Here is a 21,372-nt window from a genome sequence, read left to right as displayed (position 1 = left end):
ACTTCCGAGTCACCCAAACAGCTCCATTCAGATGGCTTGTCTGGTTCTCAGGGCCTCCAAAAATCATCACCTCCTCCCTGCTTAACAAACAGTCCAGGTTTTATAATGGCAAACATACTCCCTGCACGACCATTCACCCCTGGACCCCCTGCAGCAACGCCCCCACCACTAGTGAATGTCTTCTCATCCCCTCTTTCAGCTACTCTCTTGAATGGTTCCTAGTAGATAACAAAATGGTTTTTTCTCCAATGGGAAAATAGAACACAGGGAGCCACTCAGTTTGCTCCCAACACCTCTTTCCAGCCGCTCACCAGAGCTACCTTGGCAAGTACTCTATGAGTATGGGAAAATGAAAACAACAAACTCACACACCTTTTTAACATACACAGTCATTTCTGTCTACCCAGCCAAGGCATATTCTTCTTATGTGGAACTTCAACCTATATCTGCCTCCCCACCAACTGGACAGACACCTGCACCTTAGTCTTCCTAAGTTCCAACATTGACATTGTCCCAGGAAATCAGACCCTATCAGTGCCCCTCAAAGCTCTAGTCTGTCAGCACAGGGTCATACAACTAATACCCTTACTTACAGGGTTAGAAATGGCCACAGCTACAGGAACTGGAATAGCCAGTTTATCTACTTCATTATCCTACTACCATACACTCTCAAAGGATTTCTCAGACAGTTGGCAAGAAATAACAAAATCTATCCTTACTCTACAATCCCAAATAGACTCTTTGGCAGCAGTGACTCTCCAAAACCGCTGAGGTCTAGACCTCCTCACTACTGAGAAATGAGGACTTTGCATCTTCTTAGGGGAAGAGTGTTGTTTTTACACTAATCAGTCAGGGATAGTATGAGACGCTGCCCAGTGTTTATAGGAAAAGGCTTCTGAAATCAGACAACGCCTTTCAAACTCTTATACCAACCTCTGGAGTTGGGCGACATGGCTTCTCCCCTTTTTAGGTCTCGTGACAGCCATCTTGCTTGGGTCCCGTATTTTTAACCTCCTTGTCAAAATTTGTCTCCTCCAGGATTGAGGCCATCAAACTATAGATGGTCTGACAAATGGAACCCCAAATAAGCTCAACTCACAGCTTCTACCAAGGACCCCTGTACTGACCCACTGGCTCTTTGACTGGCCTAGAGAGTTCCCCTCTGGAGGACACTACAACTGCAGGGCCCCTTCTTTGCCCCTATCCAGCAGAAAGTAGCTAGAGCGGTCATTGCCCATTTCCCAACAGCAGTTGGGGTGTCCTGTTTAGAGGGGGCATTGAGAGGTGAGGCCAGCTGGACTTCCTGGGTCGAGTGGGGACTTCGGGAACTTTCCTGTCATTTTTTTTCTTTTTTTTTTTTTGAGACAGAGTCTCACTGTCCCCCAGGCTGGAGTGCAGTGGCGCAAACTCGGCTCACTGCAACCTCCACCTCCTGGGTTCAAGCCATTCTCCTGCCTCAGGCTCCCAAGTAGCTGGGATTACAGGCACCCTTCACCACGCCCAGCTAATTTTTGTATTTTTAGTTAGAGATGGGGTTTCACCATGTTGGCCAGGCTGTTCTCGAATTCCTGACCTCAGGTAATCCGCCCGCCTCAGCCTCCCAAAGTGTTGGGATTACAGGTGTGAGCCACCATGCCCGGCCATGAACTTTCCTGTCTTACAAGAGGTTTGTAAAATGCACCAATCAGGAACTTTCCTGTCTTACAAGAGGTTTGTAAAATGCACCAATCAGTGCTCTGTGAAAAGCACCAATCAGCGCTCTGTAAAATGCACCAATCAGCAGGATTCTAAAAGTAGCCAATCGTGGGGAGGACTGAAAAAAGCACCCTCTGATAGGACAGAAACAGAACATGGGAGGGGACAAATAACAGAATAAATGCTGGCCACCCCAGCCAGTAGCAGCAACCCGCTCCGGTCCCCTTCCATACTGTGGAAGCTTTGTCCTTTTGCTCTTCACAATAAATCTTGCTACCAATCACTTTTTGGGGCCACGCCATCTTTAAGAGCTGTAACACTCACTGCAAAGGTCCGAAGCTTCATTCTTGAAGTCAGCAAGACCACGAACCCACTGGCAGGAACCAACTCTGGACACACTGGGAGCAACAAGAAAGTTACGTGTGCTCAGTTCAAGTTTCTCTCTCTTTTTGTAGAGATTGGGGTCTCGCTATATTGTCCAGGATGGTCTTGAACTCCTCCCCTCAAGCAATCCTCCCACCTTGGCCTCCCAAAGAGTTGGAATTACAAGCATGAGCCACGGCACCCGGCCTTCAAGTTTCTTTTTTTTTCCTGAGATGGAGTCCTGTTGGGATTCGATCAGGCTAGTTGGAAAAATATTAGTTATGATAGCCACAAAATCCTTTTGGAAGGCCTGAGGGTTTTCGTATGACTTTGGTAATAGACCAGGCTGAAGGCGGCCTGGTCCCATTACCTTTAGTTAAATAAATTAGAGTAGTCAACAACGGGATGTGGGGAAGTTATCTAGTTAACTTGTTCACTCACGTGGTCTTAAGCCTTAAGCCTTTGATGTATGCTTCTCACTCAGGAAGTCCACAATGTCAATTACCCTCTAATGGTGTTGACTCAAGTTTTTGTTAACTATTTTTAATGAATTAATGCAAGCCTGCCCAGCTGAGGCCGGCCGCAGTGACAAACCTCTCTTGGTGTGCAGGTGGGTCGGACACTCAGCAGGACTGGCAACACAGAATATCTGTGTGTCAATGTACATGTTATTCATCCATCGTTTGGGTCAGGGTCTGTGGGCAGACCCCCGCAGCTAACGCCCTCTTGTGAGGAGCAATACCTCAATTGGTGCCCCGTGTGAGGAAAGTCAGCGGTCTGCGGAAACAGACCCCCCACAGTTGGAGCCCCTTGTGAGGCAAGCTGTGAAGGAAGTGTGAAGAACGCGATGGACCCCCGAAAAAGAAGGTGAAGAAGGACCACGCGGTCAAGTCAGTGAGTAATCAGTAAGTCGTTGGTGCCCACTCGAGGTTACCAAGTTCTTGGGGAAGTTGGTTCAAGCTGAGTTTTCATTATGAGACAACAGTTATCAGCTCAACAGAAACAGTATATAGAAGTGTTAAAACACTGTTGCTTAAGGCTAGTGGAGCATCAGTTTCGCAGGCTCAATTAAGGGACATAATAATACAAACTGCTGTAATCCCAAGACCATGGTTCCCAGAAGAAGAAACGAAAGATGTAGAACTCTGGAACAAGTGGGGAGAAATCTTAAGCAACATCATGCGCAAAGGCAACAGGTCCCAGTAAAATCTCTATAACGTTATGGGCTTTAATTAGAGCACCCCTGGCTCAGTTACCCACAGAAGAGCCTAAAAACGGGAAGGAGGAGGAAATGTCACCTGCCTTATCACCTCCTCTTCTTTCGGCCCTAGTATCACCCGGCCGGCCGAAATAACAAAGAGGAAACGGAGTAAAGTCTCCCTTTACCTGAGCCTCCTCCTCCAATAGATAAGAAAAAAAAAAACCAGGGATACGCTACAGCTATCAGTCCCTATCTTAAGCAGGCGGAATTAAAAGGAGAGCTTTTAGCCTGCCCGGTAATGCAACATTAACGAGGTAATCAGGTACATAAAGAAATAAGAAAAAGCATTAGAGGCTGGAGCTGCGCGGCCAAGCGAGCAGTAGAGGGAAGGAAAGGCTCAGCATCAAGGAAGCTCCCAAACACTGAGCTGGCGGATCCTCCTGGGAACTAGGCCTGCGCTGAGGCAGTAGCAGCGGGGAGCCAGGCCCAGTGCGCCAGTGTTAGCCTGCTGGGGTGGGGCAGGAGGCGCGCGCGCGAGTCCACCCAGCCGGGGACAGCCGCGCCTTGGCAGTGGGAGGGGGCGGCACAAGCGAAAGAAGTAGCACAAGCTGAAAGTGGCCGCTGCCCCAGGGCCCGCCCTCTCAGCTCTCTAGCTTCGCAGGCGGCCCAGGACAAAATTCTGTGTGTCCCTTGTATACAAAGGACGTCCCAGATTATAACTCTCTGCTAAGATTTAAGTAAAACGTAAGAATTTGGAAAACCTCTTTCTGATCATGGCAACTGTTATCTCTCTCCTACCCTTAACGTGATTTTCTCAAAAACCAATTTAAGTAAAACAGTAACCTCTAAAGGGAGAGACATTACAAAAGGCCCATGAGTTAGTTTAGGAGCAATTAAAAGCAAACTTTGCTCCCCAGTAGAAAAAAAAGTTTCGTAATTTCAAGGTTATTCATTTTGCAGGTAATATTCTACTACCAGCCCTTGGAATTTACCTATTTTCATAATTCCCAAAAAGTCTGGTAAATGTTTTACCTACACAAATAGTTCAGTCCCCCATACCTAATGCTTTAACACTGTTGACTGATAGGGCTGGTAAACATGGAAAAGCGGCAATCTGGTGGAGACCACACAATTCAATCACTCTATTTGGATGTACTAGCACTCAGAGAGCTACGATTGGGGCTCTGATTTTGGCCTTAGAAACGTTTTCCACTCAGCCCATAAATATAGTTAGCGATTCTGCATACTCCATTTAATTTATTACAAAACATTGAAACAGCTTTAATTAAGTCCACTTTGGAGCCAGCCCTGTTTACTCTTTTTCTCCGACTTCAGTAATTGCTAGATCAATGTACACATCCTATTTTTATTACACACATTCGAGCCCACAGCTCTGCCTGGCCCATTGGCTTATGGCAATGATCAAGCATACCTTCAGGTTATGACATCACTGCTAGACCAAGCCACCCAATCTCATCAATTTTTCCACCAAAATTAGAGAAACTTACCTAAACAATTTTAACTTACTCAGAGGCTGGCTAAACAAATTATCCTACAATGTGCCCAGATTGCCAGCTCACAGGGATGTCCCCTCCTTCAACAGGTGTTAACCCTAGAGGATCAGAAGCTAATCATTTGTGGCAAACAGATGTTACACACATCTCTGAATTTAGGAAACTAAGATAGGTGCATGTATCCATTGATACTGAGAGGTGAAGCCAGCTGGACTTCCTGGGTCGAGTGGGGACTTAGAGAACTTTTCTGTCTTACAAGAGGATTGTAAAATGCACCAATCAGCACTCTGTAGCTAGGATTGTAAAACGCACCAATCAGTGCTCTGTAGCTAGCAAGAGGATTGTAAAATATACCAATCAGTGCTCTGTAAAATGCACCAATCAGCACTTTTTAAAACGTACCAATCAGCACTCTGTAAAATGCACCAATCAGCAGGAGTCTAAAAGTAGCTAATCACGGGGAGGATTGAAGAAAGGGCACTCTGATGGGACAGAAACAGAACATGGGAGGGGACAAATAAGGGAATAAAGCTGGCTACCCCAGCCAGCAGTGGTAATCCACTTGGATTCCCTTCCATGGTGTGGAAGCTTTGTTCTTTTGTTCTACGCGATAAACCTTGCTGCTGCTTACTCTTTGGGTCTGTGCCACCTTTAAGAGCTGTAACACTCACCGTGAAGGTCCGCAGCTTCATTCTTGAAGTCAGTGAGACCACCAACCCACCAGCAGGAATCAACTCCTGACACAATACCAACACTCATTTAATTAGTGCACATGCTTTGCCTGGAGAGTCTACTCGATATGTCACTAAACATCTTCTTTTAACTTTTGCATTTATGGGGCAACCCACAAAAATTAAGACTGATAATGGTCCAGCTTACCAGCTCACAATTTCAACAATTTTGTCACATGTGGAATATCCAGCATTCCACAGGCATCCCATATAACCCCCAAGGACAGGCAATAGTAGAATGAGCACATTTCACCCTTAAAAATATGCTCAAAAAAATGGAAAAAAGGAAATATAGGTAAGTACACTGCGACACTACTGGCATAAGCTTTATTTAACCTTAATTTTTAAAATTTATATGACAAATTTCAATCAGCTGCAGAAAAGCACTTTGCTAAAACCTCTCAAGGCATAAAACCTACAATTTTATGGAAAGATGTGAACAGTAATAAATGGCGTGGTCCAAGTGAATTATTAACATGAGGAAGAAAGTATGCTTGTGTCCACAGCTAGAGAGAGAAATAAAAGGAAAGAATGAGTAAGAAAGAGACTAGAAAAGACAGAGATCAGAGAAGAACACAAAAAGAAGTACTAAGGAGAGAAATAAAGCAGGAAGAAGGGAAAGGAAATATTAGAAAAGTTATAAGAATGCACCTTTAGTAAGGAAGGTTATAAAACATAGAAAGGTAAGGCACGTTGAAGATTGTCTGTGAAAGTCATGAAAAAGTTATAAAAAGGAATTTATGCAGGAAATGTACGATTTTTGTTTTGAAGGTCTAAACAAGTTTTAAAATGTTAATTGCAAAAAAAAAAAAATTCTGTGTGTCAACATATTGGCTAAAGTTAGAAAGTATCATCCAGTTTTTCTGTAAACTAGACATTAAAATAAAGCACAACTAGTTTTTCTTAAAGCACTAACCTGCTCTTTAAAGAATGTAAAAGGTCTCTTAGCACAGGCAACACCCCTAGAATTTCCAGCACCAGCCTGGAGACTATGTCCTCATCAAGGGATGAAAAAAAAGAAGAAAAAACTCAAGCCAGCCTAACAAAAACCCTACAGGACCCACAGCCTCAACAATGAGGCTTCCACGAACAACACAGGCCCCAGACATTATGCTGAAGAAGCAGAAGGCTAAACCAGATAATTTACTCATTTTTATTCTCTCACTTTGCCTACTACCTATAGCTGCTAGACTCTATTAAGCTCCTCTCTTAAATCTGCCTTTTTTCAGCCCTGTTATCTAAGCAGACACTCCCTTTCCAGCTTCTGACAATGTAACTGCCTGGCTGGAAGGAGTTAACATACCCCCAGTGGGGTTCCTTAGTAATGGCACACATCAAACTAAGATGCCAAGTAACACATGTCACTCTTTGACTAGAAAAGAATGTTGCTAATTGTACTCATGATTGTTTTGTGTTATTTGCTAATCCTAGGATGCAAAGCCGGAATAAGAGCAGTGACCACCTCGCCTGACAAACCTGTGGCTGCACCTATCTGCGCTCTCCAATCAAAAAATTTGATGTAGCAAACAAAAAAGGGGGAGATGTTGGGATTCGATCAGGCAGGTGGGAAAAATATTAGTTATGATAGCCACAAAACCCTTTTGGAAGGCCTGAGGGTTTTCATATGACTTCGGTAACAGACCGGGCTGAAGGTGGCCTGGTCTCATTACCTTTAGTTAAATAAATTAGAGTAGTCAACAAGGGGATGTGAGGAAGTTATCTAGTTAACTTGTTTACTCATATGGTCTTAAGCCTTAAACCTTTGATGTATGCTTTTTACTCAGGAAGTCGACAATGTCAATTACCCTCTAATGGTGTTGTCTCAAGTTTTTGTTAACTAATCTTAATGAATTAATGCAAGCCTCCCAAGCTGATCGAGGCTGGCCACAGTGACAAACCTCTCTTGGTGTGCAGGCGGTCGGACACTCAGCAGGATTGGCAACACAGAATATCTGTGTCTCAATGCTCGTGTTATTCATCTATTGTTTGGGTCAGGGTCTGCAGGCAGACCCCCACAGCTAATGCCCTCTTGTGAGGAGCAATACCTCAGAGTCTCGCTTTGTCACCCAGGCTGGAGTGCAGTGGTGGCATCTTAGCTCACTACAACCTCTGCCTCCCGGTTCAAGTGATTCTCCTGCCTCAGGCTCCTGAGTACCTGGGATTACAGGCGTCTGCCACCATGCCTGGCTAATTTTTGTATTTTCAGTAGAGACAGGGTTTCACTATGTTGGTCAGGCTGGTCTCGAACTCCTGACCTCAAGTGATCCACCCACCTTGGCCTTCCAAAGTGCTTGGATTACAGGTGTGAGCTACCGCACCCTATCAAGTTTCTCTTGATCCAGAAATTCCAAGCTTACACTTTTGGTGACTGAGGATCACTAAGACAAAAGGCATGAACGGAATCAACTGGTCTTGAGGTTCTGCATGGAACTCTGGTATAAAGCAGTTTTGGGGTCAGAACCAACAGATCTCTAATATTCTTTGGTCTGAAAACTGGCAGCAGCTGGTGATCCAGAGGTAGGTAATTTTTAAGGTGCTCAGATGTTTTCGAGGAGCTGATCTTTGGCAGTTCATATCTCTAGATGGGTATGGGTGGAAGCTGGAACTGGCTGAGATTCTTCAGTACTCCTTTAAAACAATTATGATAATTCGCATGTAAGATTCACCATTTTAAAGTTTACATTTCTGTGGTTTCAGTATATTACAGGTCATACGACCGTCACTACTACCTAATTACACAACATTTTCATCAACCCAAAAAGAAACCCTTTACTGATTAGCAGTCATTCTCCATTTCTCCCTCCCTCAATCCCTGGAAACCACTTATTTACTTTCTGTCTCAATGGATTTGCCTATTCTGTATATTTCATATAAATGGAGCCATGCAATTTGTGGCTTTATGTCTGCTTCCTTTCACTTAGCATAATGTTTTCAAAGTTCATCTACGTTGTAGCATATATCAATACTTCTTTCTGTTTTGAGGCTGAATATATTCTGCTGTGGCCAGGCATGGTGGCTCACACCTATAATCCCAGCACCTTGGGAGGCCAAGGCAGGCAGATTGCTTGAGCTCAGGAGTTCAAGACCAGCATGGACAACATGGTGAGATCCTGTCTCTACAAAAAAACACAAAAATTACCTGGGCATGGTGGCGCACGCCTATAGTTGCAGCTGCTTGGAGGGCTTAGTTGGGAGGATCACTTGAGGCTGGGAAGTCGAGGCTGCAGTGAGCCAAGATCGTGCCACCACACTATAGCCTGGGGGACAGAGTGAGACCATGTCTCAAAAAGAATTAAAAATATATATATTCAATTGTATGGATATGCCACATTTTGCTTATCTACTCATCAATTGGTGGACATTTGGGTTGTTTCTACTTTTTGACTGTTGTGAATGATACTCCTGTGAACATTCCTGTGCAACTTTTGTTGTGGACATCTTTTCATTTCTCTTGGGTATCTATATAAGAGTACCATTGCTAGGTATCTTCGTCTGTTTGGGCTGCTGTTAACAAAATGCCTTAGACTGGGTAATATATAAAGAACAGAAATTCATTTTTTCACAGTTCTGGAAACTGGGAAGTCCAAGATCAATTCACCATGAGATTCAATGTTTGATGAGGGCCGGGCACAGTGGCTCACACCTGTAATCCCAGCACTTTGGAAGGCTGAGGCGGGAGTTTGAAACCAGGCTGGCCAACATGGTGAAACCCCATCTCTACTAAAAATACAAAAATTAGCCAGGAGTGGTGGTGCATGACTGTAATCTCAGCTACTCGGGAGGCTGAGGCAAGAGAATCGCTTGAATCCGGGAAGCAGAGGTTGCAGTGAGCTGAGATTGTGCCACTGCACTCCAGCCTGGGTGACAAAGTGAGACTCCAGCTCAAAAAAAAAAAGAAGTTTGATGAGGGCTTACTCTGCTTCAAACGTGACACCTCTTGCTGTGTCCTCACATGGCAGAAAAGGCAAGGGGGATCCCTGAAGCCTCTTTTATAAGGCACTGATCCCCCTCATGATGGCTCTGCCCTAATGATTTAATCACCTCCTTAAGGCTCCAATCATACTATGACATTGGCAGTTAAGTTTCAACATACGAATTTTGAAGGAACACATTCAGACTATATAGCACAGTTGATAAACTGCCAGACTGTTTTCAAAAGGAACTGCACGATACTACATTCCCACCAGCAGTGTATGAGGCTTTTAATTTCTCCATATCCTCATCAACACTGTTTCTTGTCTTTTTCATTATAACTATCCTACTGGATATGAAGTGGTATCTCTTTGTGGTTTTGATTTGCATTTATCTGATGACTCATGCCATTGAGCATCTCTTCATGTGTTAGTGACCATTTGTATATATTCTTTTTTTTTTTTTTTTTGAGACAGAGTTTCACTCTTTTACCCAGGCTGGAGTGAAGTGATATGACCTCAGTTCACTGCAAACTCCGCCCTCCAGATTCAAGCAATTCTCCTGCCTCAGCCTCATGAGGAGATGGGATTACAGGCACCCGCCAACATGACTGGCTGATTTTTGTACTTTTAGTAGAGACGGGGTTTCGCCCTGTTGACCAGGCTGGTCTTGAACTCCTGACCTCAGGTGATCTGGTCCACCCGCCTCGGCCTTTCAAAGTGCTAGGATTACAGGCGTGAGCCACCGTGCCTGGCCCATTTGTATATATTCTTGGTAGAAGTGTCTATCCAAATCATTTGCCCATTTTTACATTTTACATTGGCTTGTCTTTTTTTTTTTTTTTTTTTTTTTTGAGACAGGGTCTCATTCTGTTGCCCAGGCTGGAGTGCAGTGGTGCACACTGCTCACTGCAGCCTCTACGTCCCAAGGCTTAAGAGATCCTCCCACCTCAGCCTCCTGAGGAGCTGGGACAATAGGCATGTGCCGCTACGCCTGGCTAATTTTTTATTTTTTTGTAGAGACAGGTGGTGAGAGGATGGGGGAGCTCTCACTATGTTTCCTAGGCTGATCTTGAACTCCTGGGCTCAAGTGATCCTCCCACTTCATCCTCCCAAAGTGCTGGGAGTAGAGACGTGCACCATGGGGTCAACTCTTTTTTAAAAACTCAAACATTAAAAATGAGCACTAGTAGCAAAGCCTCCCTCCCCAGAATGGTGCACTCCCAGTCTTCCACGGCTCTCTGATTCTGGCAGGTTTCACTTCCTTCCCTGCCCACCTTAAAGTTGAACTCACTGGCAAGGAGCTCCACTTCCATCCACATTATCTCAGTACCCATAAGTTTGCATTTATACTCTGTTGATTTTTTTTTTTTTTTCATATCTCCTGAAGCGGTCTCTGGCCACAACCGGCTGCCTGGACTATCTAAGTTTCTCCTGCCATACCAATTATTATTTTCCTTTTGTGCTCTGGTTACAAAGTGGCATAGGTTTTCCGTGGTCTGCCCTCACACTACTTTTCCTATAAGTCCTATTAATTTCAGTGCACACAATTTTGCAGGATGTGACGTTTTTCATGAATGCATACAGCATATTATAGCATAAATGCCTAAATTTACATTTTAATCAGGGATTTTGGAGATATGGGATTCATGCAAAGTGGAATCTTCAGTTACAGTGGCAAGACAATGAGATAGGGAACTTATTTATTTATTTGAGACAGTCTGGTTCTGTCACCCAGAGTGTAGTGCAGTGGTGCTATCTTGGCTCACTGCAACCTCTGCCTCTCAGGCTCAAGCCATCCTCCCATCTCAGCATCCTGAGTAGCTGAGACTACAGACATGTGCCACCATGCCTGTCTAATTTTTGTATTTTTTTTGTAGAGATGGGGTTTCACCATGTTGCTCAGGCTGGTTTTGAACTCCTGAACTCAAGTGATTTGCCCCCACTTGGCCTTCCAAAATGTTGGGATTACAGGTGTGAGCCACAGTGCCTGGCTGAGAAATTTATTTTTCCCTCTCTAGAGAGAAAAATTTAGATAAACAGAAGCTTTAGGTGTCCCTTAAATTTCATTTTAAAGCTCTTCCCAGGCCGGGCATGGTGGCTCATGTCTGTAATCACAGCATTTTGGGAGGCCAAGGCAGGAGGATAGCTTCAGGCCAAGATTTTGAGACCAGCCTGGGGAACAAATAGAGTTTCTGTCTGTACAATGAGCACATATAGTAAAATTGGAATGATACAGAGAAGATTAGCATGGGCCCTGCACAAGGATGACACACAAATTCGTGAAGCGTTCCATTAAAAAATAAAAAAAGAAAAAAATAAAGGTGTTCTCCTACTCCTCTTTAAGGAAGGGCTAGTTTAGTCTGAGCCTTAAAATTTTCTTTTTTTTCTTTTTTTAAACTTTTTTGGTATATTCGCAGAAAATGATTATTATTAATAATCAAATAATTATTTTTGGTTTGTTTTGTTTATTGTTTTTGTTTTTATTTTTGCTTTTTTGAGACAGATTCTTGCTCTGTTGCCCAGACTGGAGTGCAGTGGTGCGATCTCGGCTCACCACAGCCTCCACCTCCCAGGTTCAAGTGATTTTCATACCTCAGCTTCCCGAATAGCTTACAGGCATGCACCACCATACCTGGTAAATTTTTTGTATTTTTAGTAGAGACGGGGTTTCGCCATGTTGTCCAGGCTGGTCTCGAACTCCTGAGCTCAGGCAATCCGCCCACCTCAGCCTCCCAAAGTGCTAGGATTACAGGCATGAGCCACCACACCCAGCCAATAATCACAATAGTTAATAAGCCTCAGTCCACCATGTGTCCCAGTCCTCATGTTGTTGCTGGTGCCCTGTCCTCCGCTGGGTGGTCACTGCAAATCCCTGAGGCCATTTAGCTCTGGTTTAGCCAGCCCCTCAGTTCCTCTCCAATCACAGTCATGTGCTTTTCACAACCTGCTTAGTAAAATGTGTCCCTTTTTATTGTCTTTTTCATTATAACTATGCTAGTGGCTATGAAGTGCTTAGTAAAATGTGTCCCTCTGGTTAGGACTTTGCAAACTTGAGTGTTCTCAGAATCCCATGGAGGGCTTGCCCACACATAGATTCCAGGTGCCACCTGCAGAGATTCTAACATTAGGTCTGGGTAAGGCCTGAGGATTTGCATCTCTAACAAGGTCCCAGGTGATGCTGATGTTGCTGGTCCAGGGACCACATTTTGAGTGTCACTGCTTTAATGACCCTGCCATCATCAGTGCCACCCATCCTCACAGACAACAGTTCCTCTTTTCACAAACCTTTTTTTTTGTTTGTTTTGGCCATTGTGCAGTGTTCTCAACCAGGGGTGATTTTTGACCCCCAGGAACCATCGGCAATGTCAGGAGACATTTTTTGTTGTCACAACTGGGTGAGAGGTTATATTATGGCATCTGACGAGGTAAAAGCTAAGGTTGCTGCTAAACATTCTGCAATGCACAAAGCAGCTCTTTGCCACAGAGAATTATCTGGTCCAAATGGCAGTAGTGCTGAGGTTGAGAAAGTCTCTATTAATATGCCATTATTGCTTTGTTTGCCAATAGCTTTCAGTTCTGATTGTATCTATGTCAAGTCAATAGTGTATGAAATAAAGTTGGAGATAAAGGAACAGTGGCGTCCCTCTCCCCCCAGTGTTTTTATACTTCGATGAAAATAAAACATTTGTCTGGACATGATGGCTCATGCCTGTAATCCCAGTGTTTGGGAGGCTGAGGTGGGAGGATTGTTTGAGGCCAGAAATTTGAGATCAGCCTGGGCAACATAGTGAGACCTCATTTTTTTTGAGACAGGGTCTCACTCTGTCACCCAGGCTGGAGTGCAGTGGCACAATCGCAGCTCACTGAAGCCTCGACAACCTCCCAGGCTCAATTGATCCTCCACCTCAGCCTCATGAGTAGCTGGGAATACAGGTGTGCGCCACCACGTCCGGCTAATTTTTGTATTTTTTGTGGAGACAGGGTCTCACTGTGTTGCCCAGGCTGGTCTTGAACTCCTGGTGTCAAGCAATCAGCCTGCCTTAGCCTCCCAAAATGCTGAGATTATAGGCATGAGCCTTGGCACCTGCTGAGACCTCATCTATATTTAAAAAAAAAATGAAGAGTTAAACTTTAAAACCATAAAGTACTTTGAAATATCATCCATGAACATGATCATTTGTCTTCAGATTTTCAATTGCTCTGTCTCAGGTCTCATGGCAGAATGAAGGAATTTACCAAAGCCAAGCCCTTTGACTCTGGGCCTATCTATTTCTTTGATCAGGTAATAATACTGCTCCTTCTCATCAAATTATAATTTACTTTTTAAAAATCAATTCACTTTTGACCAGTGTTTCCCCCTACATTTTACTCAGAACATTTTATTTTATTTTAGTTGAAACCTGAACGGAAAGATGGGAAAAGATAACCTGTGAAGAAAGTTATCCCACCCAAAATGCACCTCAAGAGCTAAGTGTAGGTAAAACATTTGGAATCATTCTTTAATTGTTGGTGTTACTTTACATCTTTAGAGGCTCGTAAGATGCTCAAGACCAATGGTTTCCCATTCCCTCATCCGCTGAAAAACTATACCAAGGAGTTGCCATTTCAGATTTGACCATGCAGTCATTCAGAGAGCTTTATTTAAGTCAGGCCAGTGGTTACTTTAAACATAATTGTTCATATTAACCACTCATCCTGGTTTCCCAGCTATTTTGCAACAAACCCAGCTCTGCTCGTGCCTTAGGGAGTTTGCACTAATGTTCCTTCTGCTTTCTGCACAACTTTCTCCCTATTCCCTTTAACTCTTTTCTTAAATATTACTGTTGCAGTAGGACTCTATTTTAGATTTCTTTTTTTTGAGACAGAGTCTTGTTCTGTCACCCTGGCTAGAGTGCAGTGGTGCGATCTCGGCTCACTGTAGCCTCCGTCTCCTGGGTTCAAGGAATTCTCCTGCCTCAGCCTCCTGAGTAGCTGGGACTACAGGTGCACACCACCACGCCCAGCTAATTTTTTGTATTTTTAGTAGAGATGGGGTTTCACCATGTTGGCCAGGCTGATCTCGAACTCCTGGCCTCAAGTGATCCACCCACCTCAGCCTCCCAAAGTGCTGGAATTACAGGCGTGAGCCACTGCACCCAGCCTCTATTTTAGATTTCCATCCTGCTCCATCGTGGCACTCCCATCTCTTTTCCCAACTTAATTTTTCTATTGCACTTATCACTTTCTAGTATTCTAAATGATATACCCATTTATTTGTTTACCCTCTCTCCTCTTATGAGAGTATAAGTTCCACAAGGGCAGGATATATATATTTTTTAATGTACATGATCACTTCTCTATCCCTAGTCCCCAAAAACAGTGCTTGGCATATAGAATGCGCTTAATAAAGATTCTTTATTAACCACCATAGAATTGTGTCAAGCCCACAAAAATGAATGAAATAGTGAGTCATTCCACATTTTTTTAACCCTCTAGTTACTATTAGGTTGGTGCAAAAGTAATTGCGGTTTCAGACCATGAATTTTAAAACATTATAACTAGGCTCACACACATCTTTATTAATCAAAATAGGAACCATTGCAATGAACACATTTTTGCCAACAAGAAATAAGTTTGTTTAATCTTGTAGCGTAAAAATCTGTGCTTTGGGATTTGATGAACTCTTGGAAAGCATTTTCTGCATCCTGCTGGTTGTGAAAGCATTTTCCCTGCAAAAAGTTCTCGAGATGCTTGAAGAAGTCTGTTGGCTAGAGGTCAGGTGAATATGGCGGATGAGGCAAAACTTCATAGCCCAGTTCATTCAACTTTTGAAGCATTGGTTGTACAACATGCGGTCAGGTGCTGTCGTGAAGAAGAATTGGGCCCTTTCAGTTGACACTGCAGTTTTCTGTGCATCGCATCGATTTGCTGCGAATACTTCTCGAATGTAACGATTTCGCCAGGATTCAGAAAGCTGTAGTGGATCAGACCGGCAGCAGACCACCAAACAGTGACCATGACGTTTTCTCGGTGCAAATTTGGCTTTGGGAAGTGCTTTGGAGCTTCTCTGTGGTCCAACCACTGACCTGGTCATCGCCGGTTGCCGTATACAATCCACTTTTCATCGCACATCTCAATCCGATCTAGAAATGGTTTGTCGTTGTTGTGTAGAATAAGAGAACGCGACACTTCAAAACGATGATTTTTAAATTTTCACTCAGCTCATGAGACACCTACTTATCAAGCTTTTTCACCTTTCCAATCTGCTTCAAAAGCTGAACAACCATAGAATCGTAGACACTGAGTTTTTTGGCAATTTCTCGTGTACTGCAAGAGGACCAGCTTCAGTGATTTTTCTCAGTTAGTCGCTGTCAGCTTCCAACGGCTGGCCGCTATACTCCTCATCCTTAAGGCTCTCTTCTCCTTTGCAAAACTTCTTGAACCCTCGCTGCACTATATATTCATTAGCGTTCCTGGGCTAAATGCATTGTTGATATTTCAAGTTGTCTCCGCTGCTTTATGACCCACTTTGAACTTGAATATGAAAATCACTCAAATTTGCTTTTTGTGTAACTTCATTTCCATAGTCTAAAATAAACATAAAATAAATGGCAAGTAATAAGTCATTAGCAAAAAAAAAAAAACAAAAAGCAAGAAATACCCATTAAAATGATGTATAACATAACCACATTTATTTAAGAATGTATTCCAATGTCAAATGGTAATTTCCAACTGCCAACACTGCAATTACTTTTGCGCTCACTCATACAATTTCTTTTTCTTTTTGGGTTTGTTTTTTTTTTTGTTTTTTTTTTTTTGAGGCAAGTCTCGCTCTGTCGCCCAGGCTGGAGTGCAGTGGCCTGATCTCAGCTCACTGCAAGCTCCGTCTCCCGGGTTCACGCCATTCTCCTGCCTCAGCCTCCCAAGTAGCTGGGACTACAGGCACCCGCCACCACTCCCGGCTAATTTTTTTGTATTTTTAGTAGAGACGGGGTTTCACCGCGTTAGGCAGGATGGTTTCGAGCTCCTGACCTTATGATCCTCCCGCCTCGGCCTCCCAAAGTGTTGGGATTACAGGCGTGAGCCACCGCGCCCAGCCCACTCATAGAATTTCTTTGCTTGTGAAGGGAAAATTAAAATACTCAAACCTGTCTTAGAACATATATCACAAAAGTATATTAGATTAAATGTTGTTGATTGCATCAGTGAATTTTCCAACAGAGGCGATTTTGCCCCACAAGGGACATTTGGCAATGCCTGCAGACATTTTTGGTAGTCACAACTGCTGGTTGCTATTGTCATCATAGGTAGAGACCAAGGATGCTGCTACACATCCTACAATGCACAGGATAGCACCCCACAATCGTGTGGTCCAAAATGTCAATAGTGCCAGGATTGACAAACCCTGCTTTACACTAATCTGTATTTGGGTTTTTTGGAACCTGCCATACCTTTCCTCAACATCACTGCAAGGATGGGCATGGTGGCTCGTACCCGTAGTCCCAGTGCTTTGGGAAGCTGAGGCAGGAGGATGGCTTGAGACCAGCCTGAGTAACATAGCAAGACCCCATCACTATTAAAAAAAAAAAGAAAACCACTGCAATTTGCTTCTGTTTTTATTTTCATTTATTTTTTTGAGATGCAGTCTCCCTCTTTCGCCCAGCCTGGACTGAGGTGGCGCGATCTCAGCTCACTGCAACCTCTCTCCCCTGGGTTCAAGTGATTCTCCTGCCTCAACCTCCTGAGTAGCTGAGATTACAGGCGCCCGCCACCCTGCTGGGCTAATTTTTATATTTTTAGTAAAGACAGGGTTTCGCTGTGTTGGCCAGGCTGGTCTCTAACTCCTGACCTCAGGTGATCCACCCGCCTCGGCCTCTCAAAGTGCGAGGATTATAGGCATGAGCCACTGCACCCAGCCTGCTTCTGTTTTAAAAGTCCACTATCTCCTTTCCCACTTTCTTTTTCATGTTTTTTGTTTGTTTGTTTGTTTGTTTTGAGATCAAGTCACACTCTGTCATCCAGACTGGAGTGCAATGGCACGATCTCAGCTCACTACAACCTCCACCTCCTGGGTTCAAGTGATTCTCCTGCCTCAGCCTCCCGAGTAACTGGGATTACAGGTGCTTGCCACCACATCTTGCTAATTTTTGTATTTTTAGTAGAGACAGGGTACTACCATGTTGACCAGGCTGGTCTTGAACTCCTGACCTCAAGTGATCTGCCGGACTCAGCCTCCCAAAGTGCTGGGATTACAGGCATGAGCCGCCATGCCCAGCCCCCAATTTCTTTTTAAAAAACAATTCAGCATAACTCCATCATTTTGTGTTTATATTGCTTGGCTTATCATTGGCCCTCAATCAATGGGGTCCGCTTATAATATGAGCAGTATGCAGCTGTGTGTATTCTAGAGCTCCAGGGGCGTGCTGGCTGCCACGTTTCTCATTTGATGCCCTCCTTAGGTCTTGAGCGTTGCTTCTGCCCGCTCTGCTTGGAGACACCCCATTTCTTGCACCTATTGTCCTGCCGTTGCTATTGCACCGAGAATAAAATCCACACTTCTTTTTTTTTTTTTTTTTTTTTTTTGGAGACGGAGTCTCGCTCTGTCGCCCAGGCCAGAGTGCAGTGGAGCTATCTCGGCTCACTGCAAGCTCCGCCTCCCGGGTTCACGCCATTCTCCTGCCTCAGCCTCTCCAGTAGCTGGGACTACAGGCGCCCGCCACCGCGCCTGGCTAATTTTTTGTATTTTTAGTAGAGACAGGGTTTCACCATGTTCGCCAGGATGGTCTTGATCTCCTGACCTTGTGATCCGCCCGCCTCGGCCTCCCAATGTGCTGGGATTACAGGCGTAAGCCACCGCACCCTGCCAAATCCACACTTCTTACCTTGATCTGCAAGCCCTTCTGAGATTTCCTCTCCGTGCCTGCCTTCTGACTTCCTCACAGGCAGTTTTCCCTTCCACTCCCTGCTCCCCAGCTGTTCTGGCCTCTCTGTTTTTTTTGTTTTGTTTTGTTTTTTTAACCAACCAAGCTCATTGCTGCCTCAGATTCTTTTCTTCTTCTTCTTCTTCTTCTTCTTCTTCTTCTTCTTCTTCTTCTTCTTCTTCTTCTTCTTCTTCTTCTACTTCTTCTTCTCCTTCTCCTTCTCCTTCTCCTTCTCCTTCTCCTTCTCCTTCTCCTTCTCCTTCTCCGTCTTTGTCCTTCTCCTTCTCCTCCTCCTCCTCCTTCTTCTTTTTTTTTTTTTTTATAATAGAGACAGGGTCTCACTATGTTGCCCAAGTTGGTCTCGAACTCCTGGGCTTAAGTGATCCTCCAGCCTCAGCCTCCCAAAGTGCTGGGATTGTAGGTGTGAGCCACCGTGCCCAGGCTGCTTCACGTTCTTTACATTTGCTGTGCACTCTGCTTTGGATGTTTTCCACTATTTTATGGTTGGCTTCTCCTCATCATCATCATTTGGGTCTCAGCTCAAATGTGGCCTCCTCAAAGAGGGTGTCCCTGACTCCCAGTCCAAAGAAGCCCGACATTCATACCCCCATCACTGTTACGGTGGCCTGTTTTATTTTCATCATTGCAGTTATCGCTATCTGTAATTTTTTATTTTCCTTTCTTTTCTTCTCCCTCTCTCTCCCTCCATGCTTTTCTTCCTGTCTTTCCCTAACTGGTCCATGTAGGCAGAGATCTACCCTCTTCACTCTGTCTCCACAAAAGCTAGAACTGTGCCTGATGAATATTCGTGGAATGAATGAATCATTCCTCTATATGTGCTAAGCCTAGAGAAGTGAGCTACTTTAAGACTGGGCCAGTCTTCATTCTTCTTCAAGTCCTTCATTGGTGATTATCTCTTGTTAAGATTGTTAAGTCTGGTTTTGAACTGGACAGTCCATTATTTGAGCACCCTATCTGAAAAATTAGCCGGCATATAAATATTATTTTTAAAAGTGCACATTAAATTTCTTAACCTTAAAACCCTCTGAAGGAGGTATACTTATCGGCCCCATTTTACATATGATAAAAGTAAGGTAATTGGCCAGACACAGTGGCTCATGCCTGTAATTCTAGCACTTTGGTAAGCCAAAGAGGAAGGATTGCTTGAGCCCAGGAGTTCAAGACCAGCCTGGGCAACATAGTGAGACCTTGTCTCTACCAAAAATAAGAATTAAAAATAAAAAAAATTAGCCAGGCATGATGGTGCCCGCCTGTGGTCCCAGCTATTTGGGAGGATCACTTGAGCCCAGGAGGTCGAGGCTGCAGTGATCTGAGATCACACCACTGCACTCCAGCCTGGATGACAGTGAGACCGTGTCTCAACAAACAAACAACAAAAAGAAAACAAGACAGAGGCAATTAATAAATAGTATCTGTTACTATTACTATTGTAAAAAGCACAGCCTTTATCATTGTATCTGAGTAATAATAGTTATACATGCATATTTTCAGAATGTTACAAAGAATATACCATAAAATGGAGATAACACAATAAATGCCACATGGCATTAGCATTAGGGTTTGGTGAAATGATATTCATGAGGGCAACTTTCAAACCTATAAAGAGATATACAGGCTGGGTGCAGTGGCTCATGCCTGTAATCCCAGCACTTTGGGAGGCCGAGGTGGGTGGATCACATGTGGCATGTGGCCAGGAGTCCGAGACCAGCCTGGCCAACATGGTGAAACCTCGTCTCTACTAAAAATACAAAAATTAGCTTGTAATCCTAGCTACTGGTGTGGCTGAGGCACGAGAATCACTTGAACCCAGGAGGCAGAGGTTGCAATGAGCCATGATCATGCCACTGAACACCAGCCTGCACAACAGACCTAGGCCCCAGTCTCAAAAAAAAAAAAAAAAAGAGCAAGAATTTTTCATCTCTATGAATTTTTCATCTCTATAAATTTTTCATCTCTATAAAAAATTTTAAAACTTAGCCAGGTGTGGTGGCATGCACCTGTAGTCCAACTAGTCTGGAGGCTGAGATGGAAGGATCACTTGAGCCCCGGAGTCTGAGGTTACAGTGAGCTATGATTGCACCACTGCACTCCAGCCTGGGCAGCAGAGCGAGAGCCTGTCTCTAAAAAAAATAATAATAAATAAGTACAAATAAATAAATATTTCTTAAATGGCCTTTCTGTCTTTTAAATGTCAACATGAATATATAACCAATGCCCAATTGTCAAAGATTTGAGATTTACATTTAGAATTCCTTTTTTTAGTTTAGAGATGGGGTCTTGCTATGTTCCCCAGGCTGAATTCAAACTCTGGGGCTCAAGCAGTCCTCCTACCTCAGCCACCTGAATAGCTGGGACTACAGGCACATGCCACTGCACCCAGCTGTCATTTAGACTTCTTATGCTAACTCAAATACTTTTTGTTCTTTAAAAATTTTCTCTTTTATTTCACATTAAACACTTATTGGAAAACCAGTGTTATTTTTCAAAATATGCTAATGGAGCCATCATTTAGAAGAAAAAGACAAGTAGCTCTTTAGTGGTGTGCGCCATTTTATAAAAATTCTATTCAGGTGAAACTCCATCAAATTTCTATATGTTTCACCACATTGGCTTGTGAAAGAAAACACTGAAATAGTGACGACGGGGGCAGCTGCCTTACTTAGAATTCTTTGAACAACTGGTTTGGAGAACATTTCAGAGGAGAGTTCATTTAAAGTTCTCTTGTTCATGCCTCGGGCAGTGCAGTGAAATCTGTTTTGGTTCCTTGTGCAATAGACATTTGTTGAATGAATGAATGATGACAGTCGTCAGATTATGAATTTTAAGCTCCAGATAGAGAAGGACTGGCCGGGCGCGGTGGCACATGCCTGTAATCTCAGCACTTTGGGAGGCCGAGGTAGGCAGATCACTTGAAGTCAGGAGTTTGAGACCAGCCTGGCCAATACGGTGAAACCTCATTTCTACTAAAAATACAAAAATTAGCTGGGCGAGCTGGCACATGCCTGTAGTCCCAGCTACTCGGGTGGCTGAGGC

The 21,372-nt window shown here is 43.9% G+C and overlaps 1 long non-coding RNA gene and 1 pseudogene across 7 annotated transcripts in view; both read left to right on the top strand.

Annotated features, from left to right (window-relative positions):
• Positions 1–1,754: 1,754 nt before the first annotated feature.
• The window catches only part of LOC107984545 (uncharacterized), a 40,761-nt gene continuing 21,143 nt past the window's right edge, over positions 1,755–21,372 (top strand). For 2 of the 7 annotated variants that reach the window (XR_001749266.2, XR_001749269.2), the window contains exons 1-3: positions 7,970–8,021; positions 13,628–13,700; positions 13,812–13,895. This is a non-coding gene — a long non-coding RNA (uncharacterized LOC107984545). Of the gene's footprint in view, positions 2,964–6,935; positions 7,068–7,969; positions 8,022–8,574; positions 8,607–13,627; positions 13,701–13,811; positions 13,896–15,047; positions 15,153–21,372 lie in introns of those variants that run through there. The other 5 variants (XR_001749267.2, XR_001749271.2, XR_001749272.2 and 2 more) reach the window with 5 other exon arrangements.
• On the top strand, positions 11,611–11,717 carry RNU6-735P (RNA, U6 small nuclear 735, pseudogene; annotated as a pseudogene).

Source organism: Homo sapiens, chromosome 12 (assembly GCF_000001405.40).
Source record: "Homo sapiens chromosome 12, GRCh38.p14 Primary Assembly".
Taxonomy (NCBI): Eukaryota; Metazoa; Chordata; class Mammalia; order Primates; family Hominidae; genus Homo; species Homo sapiens.
Note: the sequence above shows the minus strand (reverse complement) of the source record. Positions and strands in the feature narration are given on the sequence as shown.